The sequence below is a fragment of the Homo sapiens genome, chromosome 14, assembly GCF_000001405.40.
Source record: "Homo sapiens chromosome 14, GRCh38.p14 Primary Assembly".
Lineage (NCBI taxonomy): Eukaryota > Metazoa > Chordata > Mammalia > Primates > Hominidae > Homo > Homo sapiens.
Genome location: NC_000014.9, coordinates 31887326 through 31904086, shown reverse-complemented (window position 1 = coordinate 31904086; position 16761 = coordinate 31887326). Strand labels below are relative to the sequence as shown.

At 40.3% G+C, this 16761-nt stretch overlaps 1 annotated feature.

Moving 5' to 3' along the window:
- Positions 1203-2402: an enhancer, noted in NCBI's record as "CDK7 strongly-dependent group 2 enhancer chr14:32370891-32372090 (GRCh37/hg19 assembly coordinates)". NCBI's record gives its function as "activates an origin of replication core promoter dependent on BRD2, BRD4, P300/CBP, MED14 and CDK7 cofactors, with strong dependence on CDK7, by STARR-seq in HCT116 cells {active_cell/tissue: HCT116}" and the evidence as "EXISTENCE:reporter gene assay evidence [ECO:0000049][PMID:35650434]".

Below are 16761 nucleotides of genomic sequence, written 5' to 3'. Positions count from 1 at the left end.
TTTCTATATTTAATAAATATTGATTGAGCTCATATTATATGCCAACAAATGGTACTCGGGAAACAGAAAATAAACAAGAAAAACAAGGAAGGTGGTAATTGTTACAGGTAAAAATAAAGCTAGTTAAGGGAATAGGGAGTAAAGGAGAGGGGAGGGTGTACATATTGCTATTTTATAAGGGACATTCTGGGAAGACCTCACTGAAGGATGACATTTTCCCAGCCTTGCAGATATCGAAGAGAAGATACAAACATGAAAAGCATCCAAGGTTTAAGGTGGGTGCATGCTTGGTGTGTTCAGGGAACATCAGGAAGGCCAGTGTAGTTGGAGCAGAATGAGTGAAGGGAAGAATAGCAGGAGTAAAGATCAGGACACAAGCAGAGCATGCAGGGCCTTCTAGAACACTGTAGAATTTTTTTTCCAAATCATTAGCATGGTTTCACTCTTATTTTAAAAGGCTTATTCTCACTATTGTATGGCAAACAGTGTGTGTGAAGTAGGAGTTAGGGAGGAAGGACGCCATTTAAGAAGGTATTGCAAGAATCCAAGTGGAAGAAGACAGAGGCTTAGACCAGGGTGCTTAGCAATGGAAGCGGTGAGAAGTACTTAGATTCTGCTTATATTTTGCAAGTAGAAATGATGCAATGTGCTGTTAGATTGTAAGACTGGCAACCTTTATGATGGCCCACAGTGATCTGTACCTCCCCCTGCATGTAGGTTTGACCTAGTGAGTCACTTCCAATGAAAGGAATATGGCAAAAGTGATAGTATATCAATTGTGAGTTAGGTTATAAAACGTGACTTCCGTCTAGCTGCCCTCCCTCACACTCTCTCTCTGGCTCACTCTGGGGGAGACCAGATGCCATACTGTGATCTGCATTTGGAGAGGCCCATGCGGCAAGGAACTGTTGTCTCCAGCTAACAGCCAGCAAGAACCCAGGGCCTGCCAGCAGCCACATGTATCAGCTTGGCAGTGATCCTCCCTAATCAAACCTTGAGGTGACTAGCCCTGGCCAATGCCGGGATTGTAGATTTATAGTCTAAATGAGACCCTGAGCCTGAGATCCAGCTAAGCCATGCCCACATTCCTGACTCACAGAAACTGAAGTGTAATATTTGTTGCAATAGATAATTAATATAGGTTGGATATAAGAGAGAATAGTTGAGGATGACGCCACAGGTTTTGGCCTGTGTAACTGGCACCTGGAGTTGCCATTTACTGGAGAAGGAGCAGGTTGAGACGGAGAAGAAGCAGCAGGAATTGTTCTGGGTGGGTTAAATATAAGATGACTAGTCAATGGAGATCATGAATATGCAGTTGTACATTCAAGTCTGGAGTTTGAGGAGGAGATCTGGGCTGTTCCAGCCCTTCATCCATTTTTCTATTGCTTTGTTTACCTTTTTCTTATTATCTGTGGGAGTTGTTTATATTATACAGATACAGGTCTTTTGTCAGATATATGCATTATAAATATCCCCTACTCTGTAGCTTACCTTTTCACTGTGAAGAGTGTCTCGATTTACAGTCTAAATTTTAATGCAGTTTGACTTTATTTCTTTCCCTTTAAGGTTAGTACATTTTATGTTCTGTTTAAGAAACCTTTTCCTATCCTATGGTCATGAAGATATGCAAAAATATAAATTTGAGTATAATCAGCTTTCTGGATAAGAAAACCTATGGAATGACTATAGAAAGAGAAGAAATCTAGGACTTAGGTCCAGGGCATGCCAATGCTTAGAAAACAAAGGGGTGAAGGCAACTGGCAATGAAACTGAGAAACAGTAGATGGCCAGGTAGGTAGGAGGAGACAACTGAGAGAGAGCCCCAGAGTTTCCAGGTGAGGGTATTAACACTGACTCATGCTGCTGATAGGTGGAGAGAATGACTCAGAGTGGGGCACCAGATAAACACTGTTGGAATGAGCCTGCGTACAGTGGGGGAGGGGAGCTCTAAAGTCTGATTGGAGTAGAATGGGAGAAGAAGTGAAGACAAGTACAGACCACTCTTTTGGAGGAACTATGCTGTATAGGAGAAAAGAAAAACGGGGTGGCAGCTAGAGAGAGATGTGCAATCAAGGGAGGAATTTTTCTCCATGAAAGATGTTACAACAAATGTGTAATAGCTCATATGTGTACAGCTAGTGAGAAAGAGCCAATTGAGGAAATAACTGATGTGAGGAGAGGCGGTTTAAGTGCTTGAACAGCATCCCTGAGTTGGCAAGAGGAGATGAGATCCAGCGTACAAATAGAAGATAGAGTCAGGGATGCAGTAGGCTGATATATGTGGTTGCAGAAGCAGGGAGTTCCTCTCTGATTGCCTTGCTTTTCTCAAGAAGTAAGAATCAAGGCCATCTGCCGAAATGAGAAGCAGGGAATTGTCAGAGTCAGTGACTGTAAAGAAATAGAACAGAATGTTTGAGAGTCCAAACTGTGGCCACCTGAATTCATATTCCAGCTCTCCTACTTGACAATTGCGTGACCTTGGACAAGTTACTTAGCATCTCTGTTTTCTCAGCTTCTACATCTATGAAATGCAGATGATAACAGTACCTATCTCATAGGGTTGCTATGATTATTAACTGAATTTATGTACACGAAGCAAGGTTTTACTTCTATGACAGACAACATTGAGTTTTTGGACCTGTTATATTAAGGCATTTAGGCCTTTCCCTGGAATACATATTAGTTTATCTCCCATGTGGTTTAGGGGAAAGGGAGGCCTAGACAACCCAGTGAGCATTCCCTGTGACTCCTGTACACCACGATCCTCACTCTGGCTGGATGTTATGCTGTCCTGGGAAGTTTCACAAAAATGCCCACGCCTGGGCCCCATCTTCAGAGATTCTGATTCTATTAAGCTAAAGAGGAGCCCATGCTGGTACTTTTGAAAAGCTCCTTTTGTGAATGTGACGTGCAGCTCAAGCTGGGCAGTGCTGGTCTACTAGGCATATCTATGCTGTGGAGATGGGTGGGCCAGCAGAGTCATACTCTTGGAAACACCTTCTTCATCCAATAAACTCTAACTCTACATCTACAAAGCTCATTTCTAGATTTATTTTGGTTCTCTAAATGGTTTTGTCAGAAGACGAGAGTATGTGTCAGGGTAATCCAAATGTCTACTCCAAGTGGCAGTCACCTTCTCATTCTAAATGAGGACAGTAACTGTGGTCATGTGCAGTGGAGCAGCTCTCTGGGGTCACAGACAAGACTGTCTCTGGACTTACAACTGAAGCCTCCTCAGTCCACGGACCATAGGGAAGGCCCTAAGGTGGAGTCATCTTCTCAGGCTCATCTCTGTGCACAGGTCATCAGACCTTTCCCTGAAGACCCTTCTAACTCCAGGAAGTGAGTAGCCAGCCTTGAACACCACATTTCAAAAAACTGTAAGAGTGAGAGGAGGGGAGAGGATGCTCTCACATCTATGATGTTGGCAGTGACATGGATGTAATTTCTCACAGCCTAGAACCATGGTTCCTAATGCATGGCCCATGGACCACATGTAATCAATGCCAAATTATAATATCTGGAAGTAGGGCCAGAAATCCACATTCTTATAGGCTCGCTGAGAAAATATTATGTACTATGAAGTAAGAGAATCTAGAGAGTTGAACTGACTGACTTCTAATCAAGATAATACATGATGGCATTACTAGTACCAATACTAGTGGCATTACCCAAAGGTGAACTCTGTTTCCCCCAGATTAAAGGCTTTTAGTATTGAATTTCTTTCAGTGTTTTGCTTTTTGGGTTTCTGTTTTTAACTCCTTTTCCCCCTTCCACGCTAAGAGAATGGCAATTATAGCTTAGAGCTTGTACCTTCCTTATTTTTATTCCTTTAAAGTAGTAAGAATAGATTTTAATCGAAGCTTAACAAAAATACTCATGTCTGGTTATACTACTGCAGTAGGAAAGAGGGTCCAGTGTGAACTGAACCCAACTTCAACTTGCGCAGAGGTAACCGGGTGTTTTTATTTTTAGGGTGTATATATTTATGGGGTACCTGAGATATTTTAATACACAACTATGTGATACATATATATACATATACAGTGCATAATAATCACATCAGGGTAAATGGAATATCCATGGCAAACTCTTTTAATATTTTTATTTTTATTCTTCTGGAAGTTGTCTCCTCTGGATAATTTGTTGGATAAAATTAAGAAACATTGCTGTTTCTTAATTTATCAATGAAAGCAATTTTAATAGACTCCCTAATATGAAAGACAAGGATTTTGTTTATACTACCTCATTCCTCTCTCTTCTTAGTGTTTTAATTTTTTTAAGTTTTTTAAATTGATAACCACTATAACATAAAATAACATTTAAATCTCTATTTCATTTTACACAAAATTTGATATCCCGTTTTGACTCCCCATCTTTCCTTCTCCCTTCTATATCCCACCTTGTGTCAGGTCCATTTTGACTTTAATATTGACACTTTTTTTTTTTTTTTTGTAAAGACAGAGTCTCGCTCCACCTCCCAGGCTGGGGTGCAGTGGCGCGATATCAGCTCTCTGTAACCTCTGTCTCTCGAGTTCAAGTAATTCTCGTGCCTCAGCCCCCTGAGTAGCTGGGACTATAGGCACCTGCCACCATGCCCAGCTAAATGTTGATAAATTTGTCAACAGATGAATCTTCAATATATGTACCTGCCTCCCCACATTCCTCTGTCCCCATTTTTGGTTCTCCTACTCACATCTGCCTTCCATAGGACCTGTTGTCTCTCAACTCAAAGCTTCCTCCACTGGGCAGGTGGCTCCCTCATCCTCTGAAACTCATGCTAGACTATTGTTTTTTCTTGCCTCTCATCTGTCAACTCACTCTAAACTACTTTTCTTCTTCCAGATACTTATTAAAATGTCTCATTCTTTTGTAAACCCCAATTCCATTCTCTTCCCTGTTATAGGTTTATTCCTTTTGGTACTTTTTATTTTATTTGGATCTTGGGAGTAATGGAAGATAAATGTGTGCACCCAGTCCATCTTCATGAAGCAGATGTCCTGTGACTCACTCTATCAAACAAGGAACTGGACACTCAGTTGTTTTGCATCTCACTCACTTCCAGTTCCCTCTTAATTATGTTTGTTCTGCTATTTCTCATTTGAATACTATTCTTGATAGAACATGTGTTAACTTTTCTTTGTCATCAGTTTATAGCCTACTGATCTTGCATACATGATTTAAAAATCTATCATATTACAATTGAAAGCATTTTTTTCCCCACATAGCTCACCCTAGCTATAATTCTTGAATGTTTGTCCCACCCTTGAGTATTTAGCTTTGGCCATACCTCAACCTCTCCTTTCATTTTGAATCTGACTTTAAAAAAATAAAGTAAAACCTTTTTTAAAAAAGTTACACATATGGTATTTAATAAATGTAAATAAGTATGTATCAGTAGGCTCTATCAGCAATATTCTTCAAACTTGAAGTTATTGAACAATGGATAGAAAATTCTAAATACTGCAATCCCAATACTTTGGGAGGCTGAAGCAGGAGGAAATCAGCAAATATAGTAGATAACTTCTATTAAAATTTTAGTTTTTGTAAGTCTTGAGAAGGACAAATGTCCTTGGGATAATTTTTAAAGAAATACTTTATATTTCTGGAGAAGTTTTAGGTTCATAGCAAAATTGGGAAGAAGATAGAGATTTCCTGTGTACCTCCTGCCCCCACACATGCATAGCCTCCCCATTATCAAGTTGGGGGGAAGATGAATAGATGGAATACAGAAGTTACTATAATGATAGATATATGTCATTATACATTTGTCCAAACTCATAATGAACAACCCTAAGAATAAATTCTAATGTAAACTATGGACTTTGGGTGATTATGATATGTTAGTGTGGGCTTATCAATTATAATGAATGTATCAATCTGGCAGAGAATGTTAAAATTTCCTTTTTAAAAGTAAGTAAAAGCAAAAGGTTGAATATCTCATTTCCAAAGACGAGGAATCTGCTGCTCTATAAGCCAATAACTAAGGGAGTCAGTTTTTAAACTTTTGGTCTTCTGCAATGTGGAGGCATAGCCCTGTGGTTAAGATGGTCAGCTTTAGAACAGGACTGACTGTATTCAAATCCTGGCTCTGTCACTTGCTGGGTGTGTGATCTCTAGTAAGATACCTCACACGGCAGAAATTAGTGAGCTGTTTACCAAATCCTTTTCTCTTTTCTTCTGAGGATACAACTAGACTCTTTCCTAGCCTTCTTGCAGTGAGGAGTGACCACATGATTGCGCTCTTGCCACTGAAATGTGATTGGAAATTTTACCAGTACCAGGGCTGGTCCACAGAAACTGCACAGGCCTCCAGTCTCTCAATTGTGCTGGCTGCTGGCTTGATAGGAATGTCCAGGGCAGCCCTGGAAGCCATGTGTTAAAGACAGCAGGGCCTCCATCAGTGCCTGAAATGGAAACCTCCCCCCATCCCCACTGGTGCTGCCAATAGAATTTTACACGATTACAAAATAACCTTTACATGATGAAGAAATAATCTTCCCTTTTGTGAGATTTCAGGTTTGTGTTAGAACAGCTTGTTTTAACTTAATCAACATACTTTTCTAAACTTCACTTGCCTCTTCAGATAATTCTAGTACATGGTGCTGTTAAAAAGACTGAAAGAGAAACAATGAATATAAAGTGTGCTAATGCATCATGCCTAGCAAATGGTAAGTATACAATAAAGGTTCATTACTTATTATTCTATGAAACCTGTTGTTAATTACCATTGCCTATTATGTGCAATATAATAGAAGGCTCTCATATACATTCAAATGCCCACACTGGCTGGGCACAGTGGCTCATGCCTGTAATCCCAATACTCTGGGAGGCCGAAGCAGGAGGAATTCAAGACCAGTCTGGGCAACATATTGAGATCCCATCTCTACTATTAAAAAAAAAAAATTAGCTGGGCATAGTGGTGCTTGCCTGTAGTCCTGGCTGTTTGGAAGGCTGAGGCAGGAAGATCGCTTGAGCCCAGGAGTTGAAGGCTACAATAAGGTATGATTGTGTCACTACACTCCAACCTGGACAACAGAGTGCAACCCTGTCTAAAAAGAGAGAGAGAAAAAAAAGCCCACTCCTCGCAGCCTGAAATTCCACCATTCCTTTATGTAAATCAATGCCTTTTCCTTTAAAGAGTAACTTCCACATTTAATCATAAAATTAATGTGTTTATATGTTTATTGCAAAAAATTTATAAAATAGAAAACTTAGACTCAGGCTGGGTGCAGTGGCTCACACCTGTAATCCCAGCACTGTGGGAGTCTGAGGTGGGCTGATCACAAGGTCAAGAGTTCGAGACCAGCCTGGCCAACATGGTGAAACGCTGTCTCTACTGAAAACACAAAAATTAGACAGGTGTGGTGGCACGCGCCTATAATCCCAGCTACTCAGGAGGCTGAGGCAGGAGAATCGCTTGAACCCGGGAGGTAGAGGTTGCAGTGAGCCAAGATCACACCACTGCATCCATCCTGGGTGACAGGGCAAGACTCTGTCTTAAAAAAAAAAAGAATCAAATATTGATCATCTATAATCCTATCATCCAAAGATAATCACTGCTAGCATTTTGAAATATGTCATCCCAATTTTTTATTATTTCTGCTATCATTAAGTATACGTATTATGTATTACTTTTTTCCACCTAACATTTTGCCTTGAACAGATTCCTATGTGTTCAAATATACTTTAAAAAGACATTTGATGATGACCCATTAACTTACATAGAGCATGTAATTTTTTCTATAAAATTAAACAAAAGATATTTGATGAGTGCTTATGGATGTAAAACAACTTATTTAACTATTATATGGATATATCACAATTTACTTAATTATTCCTTTATTGAAGGATATTTTTGTTACTTCTACCAGAATGCATAATTCTAGAATAAACCTCCTGGTACATAAATCTTTGCCTCTAATTATTTGTCCTTTCTGCTTTCATTTTCCTTTTTCTGGGCTTCTTCAAAACAGAATTTTTAAAAGAATTTTTGACTTCTCTAAATGATACAATAACTAATTCTTATTTCATCTTGATGTATGTTTTATATGCTTCTTTACTATTTCTTTTGTTGTTGTTTTAAGAACAAAAATACCCTTGGAAAAGTCCATAGCTCTTTTCTCTGAAGACTTCCTGTTAATACATTTATCAGATTGTTTGATTTGCAGAAAGGAAAAACAAAGCTGTATGTAAATCCTAGAAACCAGAAGTAAAAGGAATTCTGGGGGAGTGAGGAGTGGAGAGGAACAGAAAGTGGACGTGAAATTGAAATAAAATCTCTGCATACCTCAAAATTCCACACTGAGGGGAAGTCTCCCCTTCTGCTGTCCCAACCATCCCCGGTAGATGAGCTACCATATTTCTTCCATTTATAATCAATCAGATTTTAAAAAACTGTGAAGCACTGGGATCTTGTGGGAGTTTTTGCTGAGCATATAAATAGCATTAACAAGAGTAAACAATGGCATCAATGAAACATAATCCTTGCATTGATCATCCTGTTTACTGAGTGGCTTGGGTCAGTGTCTGTAGATAAATTAATAATGGTTTTCTCTGTCTCTGGCAGCTAACACAATGTCAACTCTTCAGAGTAGGGAGAGGCAATATTCCCCTATTACATGTATCTTGGCAAAAATGGCTGCAAATGCATAGGAATGCAGTTCACAGCCTTCTTTGGAGGTTTCTATGAATCACAGTTTTACATTCCCACAGCTGGAGTGAATCACGAGTCTGCGACTTATACAAAAGAGTTATTATCTAAGGCAAATGCTCTTTCATCTCATTTGCATTTACTTCCAAATTGTTATCTGTCCCCTTGGGTGAAGGTCTAATTACAGGTATTTATTGGAATGATTGTGTGGCTCTGCTTTCCCTCCAGCTTCCATCAAAGTGTAACATTAAAATGATGGGCACATGTTCGCCTTGCTAACCGTCCTCATGCAAGGGGTGGTCACTCTCCAAAATATCCTCTTCAAATAAAAAGGGTGACAATATGGGGTACAATCAAGGTCCTAGCAGGAAACAGATGGCACACTCAAATTAGGTTAATTCATGGAGGGTTTCATGAAGAGGCTATTTACAAAGGTTTGGGCAGGGGGTAGCGAAACCACAAGTGAGAGCACGATACCCCAAGGCTGGTAAACAGCAGGCAGTGACCAGCCCTAGGCCTAACTGCTCAGAAAGGAAAGGATCCTGAGGAGATGGCTGTGTTGACTTGCCTTTGATAGAGGGATGCAGTCAGCCCTGGACTACGCTGAGGAATCAAACACTCTGACCTTGCTCTCCTCTCTCTTCAGATCTGACAACCAGAAGCCAGAGAGTAGAAGGGCACATACAAGTCATTCTCCCAGGGCCGAAAGTGAGGGAGGTTGGGGAAGGTGGAGAGTGGATACTGAGAGGTACATGGAAGCTGGCTGGTAAAAGTGGGAGGGCCAAGAGTTCAGTCTGGATGTGCCAGATATATGAGTTCAATTAGTCACCAAGAAGAGGCATCAGGTAGGCAGCTGGATCTATGACTGCAGTTCCAGAGGAAGGCCTGAGCTGGAGATGCATTTGGGACTCACAGGCTTTTTAAAGCCACAAGGCTGATCACAAAGATTATCACACTGTGACATACATCACACGGCACTGGGTGGAGCCATGGGCGTCAAAGCTTGACTGCAAAGAGAATGGGAGAGAGAAACAGACACTGAGTGTGAACAACTCTTTTAAATAGTTTTTGCTGCAAAGAAGAGAAAGAAAGTGGGGAGCAGCTGTTAGGGGAAGTAAAGTCAAGGAAAGGTCGACTTTTTTAAGAAAGGAGAACTAACAGTAGGTTTGTATGCTGATGGGAATAATCCAGGAAAAAGAGTAAAACTAATGGTAGAGGAGAGGGAGGACTATGGCAAGGAGAAGAACAGAGTTCCCTGAATTAGGGGGCAGCTGCCACTCAGCTCCAGCCAATGGTTTACAGTCCTCTCGTTTCTCAAGAGAAGTCAGAAATTGGTGTTTTTTTGTTTTGTTTGTTTGTTTTTAAGCACGAAGTCTCCTGATATTTAGCAGGAGATATGTTGACAACTAATTACATTTTTTTTCAAACTTTCTGAAGTTGAATGAAACTCGTCTGCAGGCCACCGGTTGGCAACCTCTCCTAGATTGCTGACTTTGGTTCCTTCCATAGTTATCAGGTGTGGCCTCCTGGTTTAGGGACCTCTGAAGGTCACTGGCTATTTACTGTCTAAAATCTTTGAACCTGTAAGTGCCCCTGCAGTGGTGCTTGGCCAGGGTGGCTAATGATATAGTCCCTGTCCCCTTCACAAAGGGCAGCGGAACTGAGGTTGCCAGACCTAGCCGCACATCCTATACTTAAGTCCTCACAGTTAATACTTAGGCTTCATGTATGCTGTTTACCTCCTCCCGCCTCCTCCTCACTGAGGAAACTATTATCTGCAGGCCAATGCAAATAAAGGTCACCAAGACACACTCACGGGCCAAACACTGAATGCTGGCATGCTGGAAGGGTTGATTGTTTGTAGGCTCCCAGCTAATAAAGGAAATGCCAATCAAAGGGGGCCTTCTCGCCTGCTCCCAACTCAAATGCAGCCCTGGCTGCCAGTGAGAGCTGCAAGCAGGACAGCACTCAGATTTCTGAGGATGCCTGGCACCTGCACAGAAAAATCGCAGAGTCTGGTGATTTGACAGTCTGTCCCTGACCTGGGGAGGACACAGGGCCTGCTAGCCAGGAAGGAAGGAGTGCTGACTTCAGTCATATGGCAGGCTTCCTCCAGAGGCAAGAGTGAGGAGGAAACCCCACCTTGTGAGGGCTGCTGTGTTTTTATATGCACATGACTAATCTTTATGACAGGGTTAAATCCCAGACCTCTCCAATTTTCCCCATGTGAACATAGCATTAAAAATGTTTCTCAGGTCACAGTGCTGGTTTCCCCTTGTGGCACCTGCCTCCTCCTGGAAGTGTAATGTAAGCCTCAAAAAAACCTGTATCTTAAATATTTCTTCTCACTTAACAATAAGTAACTCAAGCTTTAGGTGAGGCAGAGACAGCTTTTATCTCTGAACCATTCCACTCTCACTCCTCTTTTGGTTTAGTCCTATGTAGAACAAGACAGGAAATGGACACACCATCCTGTCACACCGCTAACCCCTCCGTCCTCAAATCTACCTGGCAGAATAAAGGGAGGGAAAAAAAGGAGCAGAGAGTTCCCCATCAGAAACACTTTTCAAGGTCTCCGCCATGGAATCCAAAATAGTTCTTCCTGTTCTAAGTGAGAAGGAAACTGGTGGAGCAGGGTGGTGGGGGGCAGATTTATCAAGAGCTCCCTATGAGGGGAAGATTCTGGGAAGACAGCAGTAGTGGCAAGCATAGTCTTTCAATCTCTCCAAGTCCCCACATAAAAATAGGAAAACAAGATAGCAAAACCCAAAACCCATGGACAACACTTATAACAAAATGAGATGAAGGGGTATCCCTCTGAGCCCCCAAATATAAGTGAGTAGAAACAAACTACCAGAAATCCCTAAACCTGCATGGGGCCTATCAGTGCAGGAGGAAAAAGAGGAAAGCAATGGGGACTGTGACTTATGAACCTGAGAACAGAAAAACCACAACAGGTATTCACTGGAAAACAGAGGACCAATGTGAGAAGAGCAGTTGAAACTGGGAGGTGCTGCCCTCTCCAATAACAAGTGAATGCAAGTGGCCTGCAGTGAGAAGGGGTCTCTAGCAACTCCCCAAACCGATCAGGCCCCCTTCTAGGACAGGGGCCATGCTGCGGGGAAGCTGCTGGAGTGCAATCAAAATGGAGCAGAATAGGGACAAGAGAGACAAAGGAAATGGAGAGTTCAGACCAAACTGAGGGAGAGGAGCAGAGCCAAGAAAGCTCAGAAAGCAAGCTGCCATATTTGAATACTACACAAAAACAACAAAAGGAGCCGAGTGAAGTAAGAAAAGCTGCTCTGAACCCCTCCTCATTCTGAAGTTTAGAAAAACTACTTTTACTAAAAATGAGCCATAGAAAAGTATCACACAAGATACCACACAAAGTTATTACAAGGGGAAAGAATATGAGCTGAATAGCATTCCACAGGCAAAGAAAGCATGCTGGAAAGGCACGCCCACAGAACAACAAAATTGTCAACTCACACTTCAAAATGAGTCGGACGACATTTTAAAAATGATAGAAAACCTGAATGAAAAATCAAAACTAGAAATACACAGAAATGAGGCAACAAAACTCAAAAATTAAACATATTTCAGAAATAAAGAACTAGAAGAAACACAATAGCACAAATACACAACAGATAACGCATTAAGACAAATATGCAAAAGAGAAACATTTTAAAAATCAAAAAGAAATTTCAAAAAACAAAAAAGGATTCAAGAGAAAATGAGAAAAATTAAAGATATGCAAAGGAACTCCAGCGCACTGATAATAAGAGTCCCTTGCAGCATAAGCAAAGCCAATGTGAGGGAACAGAACAAATACTGAAAACTATAATTCACAAAAACTCTTCTAAATTTAAAAAAGAAAAGACTTAAAAGTACACATTGAAGAAAACACACCATGTACCTCAGAATATCATCCCACAATGACCAATAGCAAACCACATTCTAGTAAAATATACTGTTAAGAAAAAACAAAAAACAGGAAGAAAGAGGGGAAGGGGGCAGAGGGGAGGAGAGGAGAGATCCTCTGAGCACCTAGGAAAAGAACATATGAATTATAAGGGAAGAAATTAAATTGCCATTCGTTTTTTCCACAACGATGCTTTTTGCCAGAAGGAAATGGAATGATATATTTAAGATATTCAAAGAAAGAACGAGCCAATAATCTTATATCAAGCAAAACTCACTTTCAAGTATAAATGGTACAAACTTATCAATTTGCATGCAAGGGCTCAGGGAATATCATCCCCAAGAACTTTTCTTGAGGAACATGACTAGGACAAATGACCAGACAACCAAAGTGGCTGACATTGACATTGAAAATGGCTGACATTGGCTAAGGATTGCTTTATACTTTATGGAACTATGACTATGAGAAGGCTAAAAACAACACAAAGTTCCACTACTGAAAAACAGTGGAAAGGGCAGATTCAAATTATATGCATGTATGTATGTATGTATGTATGTATGTATGTGAGTGTCTACGCACATATACCTTTCCTAGCTCTGTCCACTGAAAAGGCCAGGAAACAAAGGCTGATCCAGTAGTAAAGTGCATCCCTACACCACATATGGCTTTAAAGTACAACTTTTCACTAAAAGAACCTGGGGCTTATTAGAGAAATGGTGGATTCCAGGTGTGACACGGGAAGTTTCCAAGATAAGCCTAGAACACTTCATCATACAAGAAAGCAACGAAGGCCAGGCATGGTGGCTCACGCCTGTAATCCCAGCACTTTGGTAGGCCAAGGCAGGCGGATCACCTGAGGTCAGGAGTTCAAGACCAGCCTGGCCAACATGGCAAAACCCCATCTCTACTAAAAATGAAAAAAAAATTACCTGGGTATGGTGGCGTGCGCCGTAGCCCCAGCTACTCAGGAGGCTGAGGCAGGAGAATCACTTGAACCCAGGAGGTGGAGGTTGCAGTGAGCCGAGATCATGCCACTTCACTCCAGCCTGGGTGACAGAGAGAGACTCTATCTCAAAAACATAAATAAATAAATAAATAAATAAATAAATAAATAAATAAATAAATAAAAATAAAAAAGAAAGCAAGGAAGCAATAAAAGACTGCTTGATTATAAGGACCTAGGAGACACTTTGAAGAGGCTTCCACTAGCCCAAGATGAGATAATTTGAGCTTCATAATGATAATAAATGCAATGTATTGAGACATATTAAATAGGTTTAAATCCATGAGTTCTTAAGTGATTTTTTAAAAAAGGAATTGGTCACCTTTGAAATGTGACAGAACCACAGTAGCTCTTCAATATCCACAGGAAACTGGTTCCAGGACCCCAAGGATACCAAAATCCACAGTGTTCAAGTCCCTTATATAAAATGATGTAGTATTTGTATAAAATCTACACACATCCTCCCGTATACTTTAAATCAACTCTAGATTATATGTAATACCTAATACAATGTAAATGCTATATAAATAGTTGTCACACTATACTGTTTAGGGAATAATGACAAGAAAAAGGTCTGTACATGTTCATTACATACGCAATCATCCCATTTTTTTTTCCAAATACTTTTTGGTCTGTGGTTGGTTGAATCCAGAGATGTAGAACCCACAGATATGGAGGACCAACTGTAATTCATTATATTGAGAATAAGTAAATAAAGGGAAAGAATCAAGCATTCAGCCTTCTTTTCCTATGTGAACTATGCCATTGATGTATTGATAGTAAATGAATTATCTCTGTATAAATATATTCCAACTAATAAATGGGAAAGACATAATAGAAATAGAATGGCATCATTTTGCAACCCAAATGAATTAATAGATGTAGACATTAAGCATAACAACTGTTCCTATCACAAAAAGAGAGACAACCAGATATCCTGTGCCTCCTATGATCTTGCCAAATACCACCTAGAATCTTGCCAAAGGGGTAAACAGGAATCTGATCCAGTGTCTGGATCCAGTTGCCAATTTCCAGGAAATACAGAGGAAAGGGGAACGTGTTGTACTGCACCAAGAGACTGCAGGCAGCAAGACCCAGACTCAGGGAAACTCTAAAGGTCAAATAGCCTGGATTCTTCCACATAAATTTTAAGAAAGCAAAAGGGATGAAGAGCGTATCTGTAAATTAAAAGAGACCTAAAGGCATATCAGATGTTAAAAATGATCACGACTAAACAATAGTGCTAAAGACACACAAATGCAGGATAACATTATAAAAATGCATCAAATGATTATGATAAAGTCAGGATATAGTTACTTTTGTGGGGAAGGAGGGACCTGTGATTGGAATGAGGTACATGGAAGGGCCTTCTGAATAGATAACAAAGTTCTACTTCTTGCCTGGGCTATGATTTCAAGAATGTTTACCTTAAAATACTTATTGTGCCGTATGCTTGTTTTGTGTTATTTTAAGTATCTGTGCTTTATTTGATGACGATGATTATGATGATGATGAAGGAGGAGGAGAAAAGAAGAAGGAAGAAGAAAAGAAAGAAGGAAGAAGAACAGCTCACTAAAGCTTAAATAAAGTAGATTGGTCTTACTAGCTGGCAAAAAGGCCTCTAGATTGAGAGTTAACTTTTAAAGCTTGACATCTGGCAAATAAACAGTAAAAGCTGAGGCCCCTCAATTTCCATTAAAAACAACTGAGACATATAAACAGGATTCTAAGACAAGGAATATAATGGAACATTCCATTTTCTGGTCAATCACTGAGTAAAGGAAATAACATAATTGCCTGTTCAATGGGTTAGGGGTTAGTGATCGTCTATGAGAAAATAAAAAAGGGGGATTAAAAAGAGGAAGGAAAAAAGAGAAGAACAGAATAAAGATCAAATTTGGTGACAGGATGGACCTCTGAGCTCCCACCTGAAAGGGCTTACCAGCTGCTCTGCCTATGCAGTAGCCACTCTTTTATTCCTTTACAAAAGAAAGAAAAGAAAGAGAAAAGAAAAGAAAGAAAGGAAAAGAAAGAGAAAGAAGAGAAAAAGAGAGAGAAAAAGAGAAAAAGAAAAAAACAGAAAGAAATAAAGAGAAAAAGAAGAAAGACAAAGAGAAAAAGAAACAGAAAGAAAGAGGCAAAGAAAGAGAAAGAGAAAGAAAAAGAGAAGAAAGGAGAGAAAGAGAAAGAGAGAGGAAGGGAGGGAGGAAAGAAGGAAGGAAGGAAGGAAGGAAGGAAGGAAGGAAGGAAGGAAGGAAGGAAAGAAGGAAGGAAGGAAAGAAGGAAGGAAGGAAAGAAGGAAGGAAGGAAAGAAGGAAGGAAGGAAAGAAGGAAGGAAGGAAAGACGGAAGGAAAGACGGAAGGAAAGACGGAAGGAAAGACAGAAGGAAGGAAGGGAGGCGTTCTCATCTTTGTAGGTAGAAGCAGAGTCTGGTGCAGGGTCAGGAGATGGGAACAATTCCCCACCAAAGACTATGATGTCTAACCAGAAAGCCAGATGCATTTCCCAGGAAGCTGATGGACCACCAGCACATTCTTTGATTTCCCTGAGGGGAATGAAGATTATCAAACCCTCCTGAGAGAAGTATTAATTAATATACTGGGTAATTACTGTTTTTATGTCAGGAGATAGTGCAAAAACTACTTTAACTGAGACAGGTCAGGAAAGCTCCAGATAATTTTGCAGACACCTTTTGAAAAGAGTTGTAAAAGGATGAGGAATGGAAAGAGGGTGTATGACCCTCCAGAAAAACACAGACATGTTCCAGTCCTCACTCTCAAATCTTGTTTCATCTAGAGCTGTGGTCAATTTAACCGGGGTACTGTGCTACAGTTATCTAAATCTTGATGATTTGATAGCTTTAAAAAATCTATAAAACAGAAATATTTTATCCAATTAAAAAGAAAACTTCCCATCAAAAAAATGTGTTAACCTCTAGAATAGATTACTAAGGGAAGTTCTGTCACAAGAGCCCAAAGAATCATGTATTCAGAATCCCCTAAGGTGCAGGTGCACATGACGACAGGTCAAAGAGATGCCTATGGTGTCTCCCAAGGAGATCATGATTGCCCTGTTCCATCACTGCCCAGGTGTGCTGGCCATCACAGGAAGGCAGGAGAGCATGGTGGCTGGAGCAGACATGTATCAGAAAGATTTAAATTCAAATCCTGGCCTTTGTC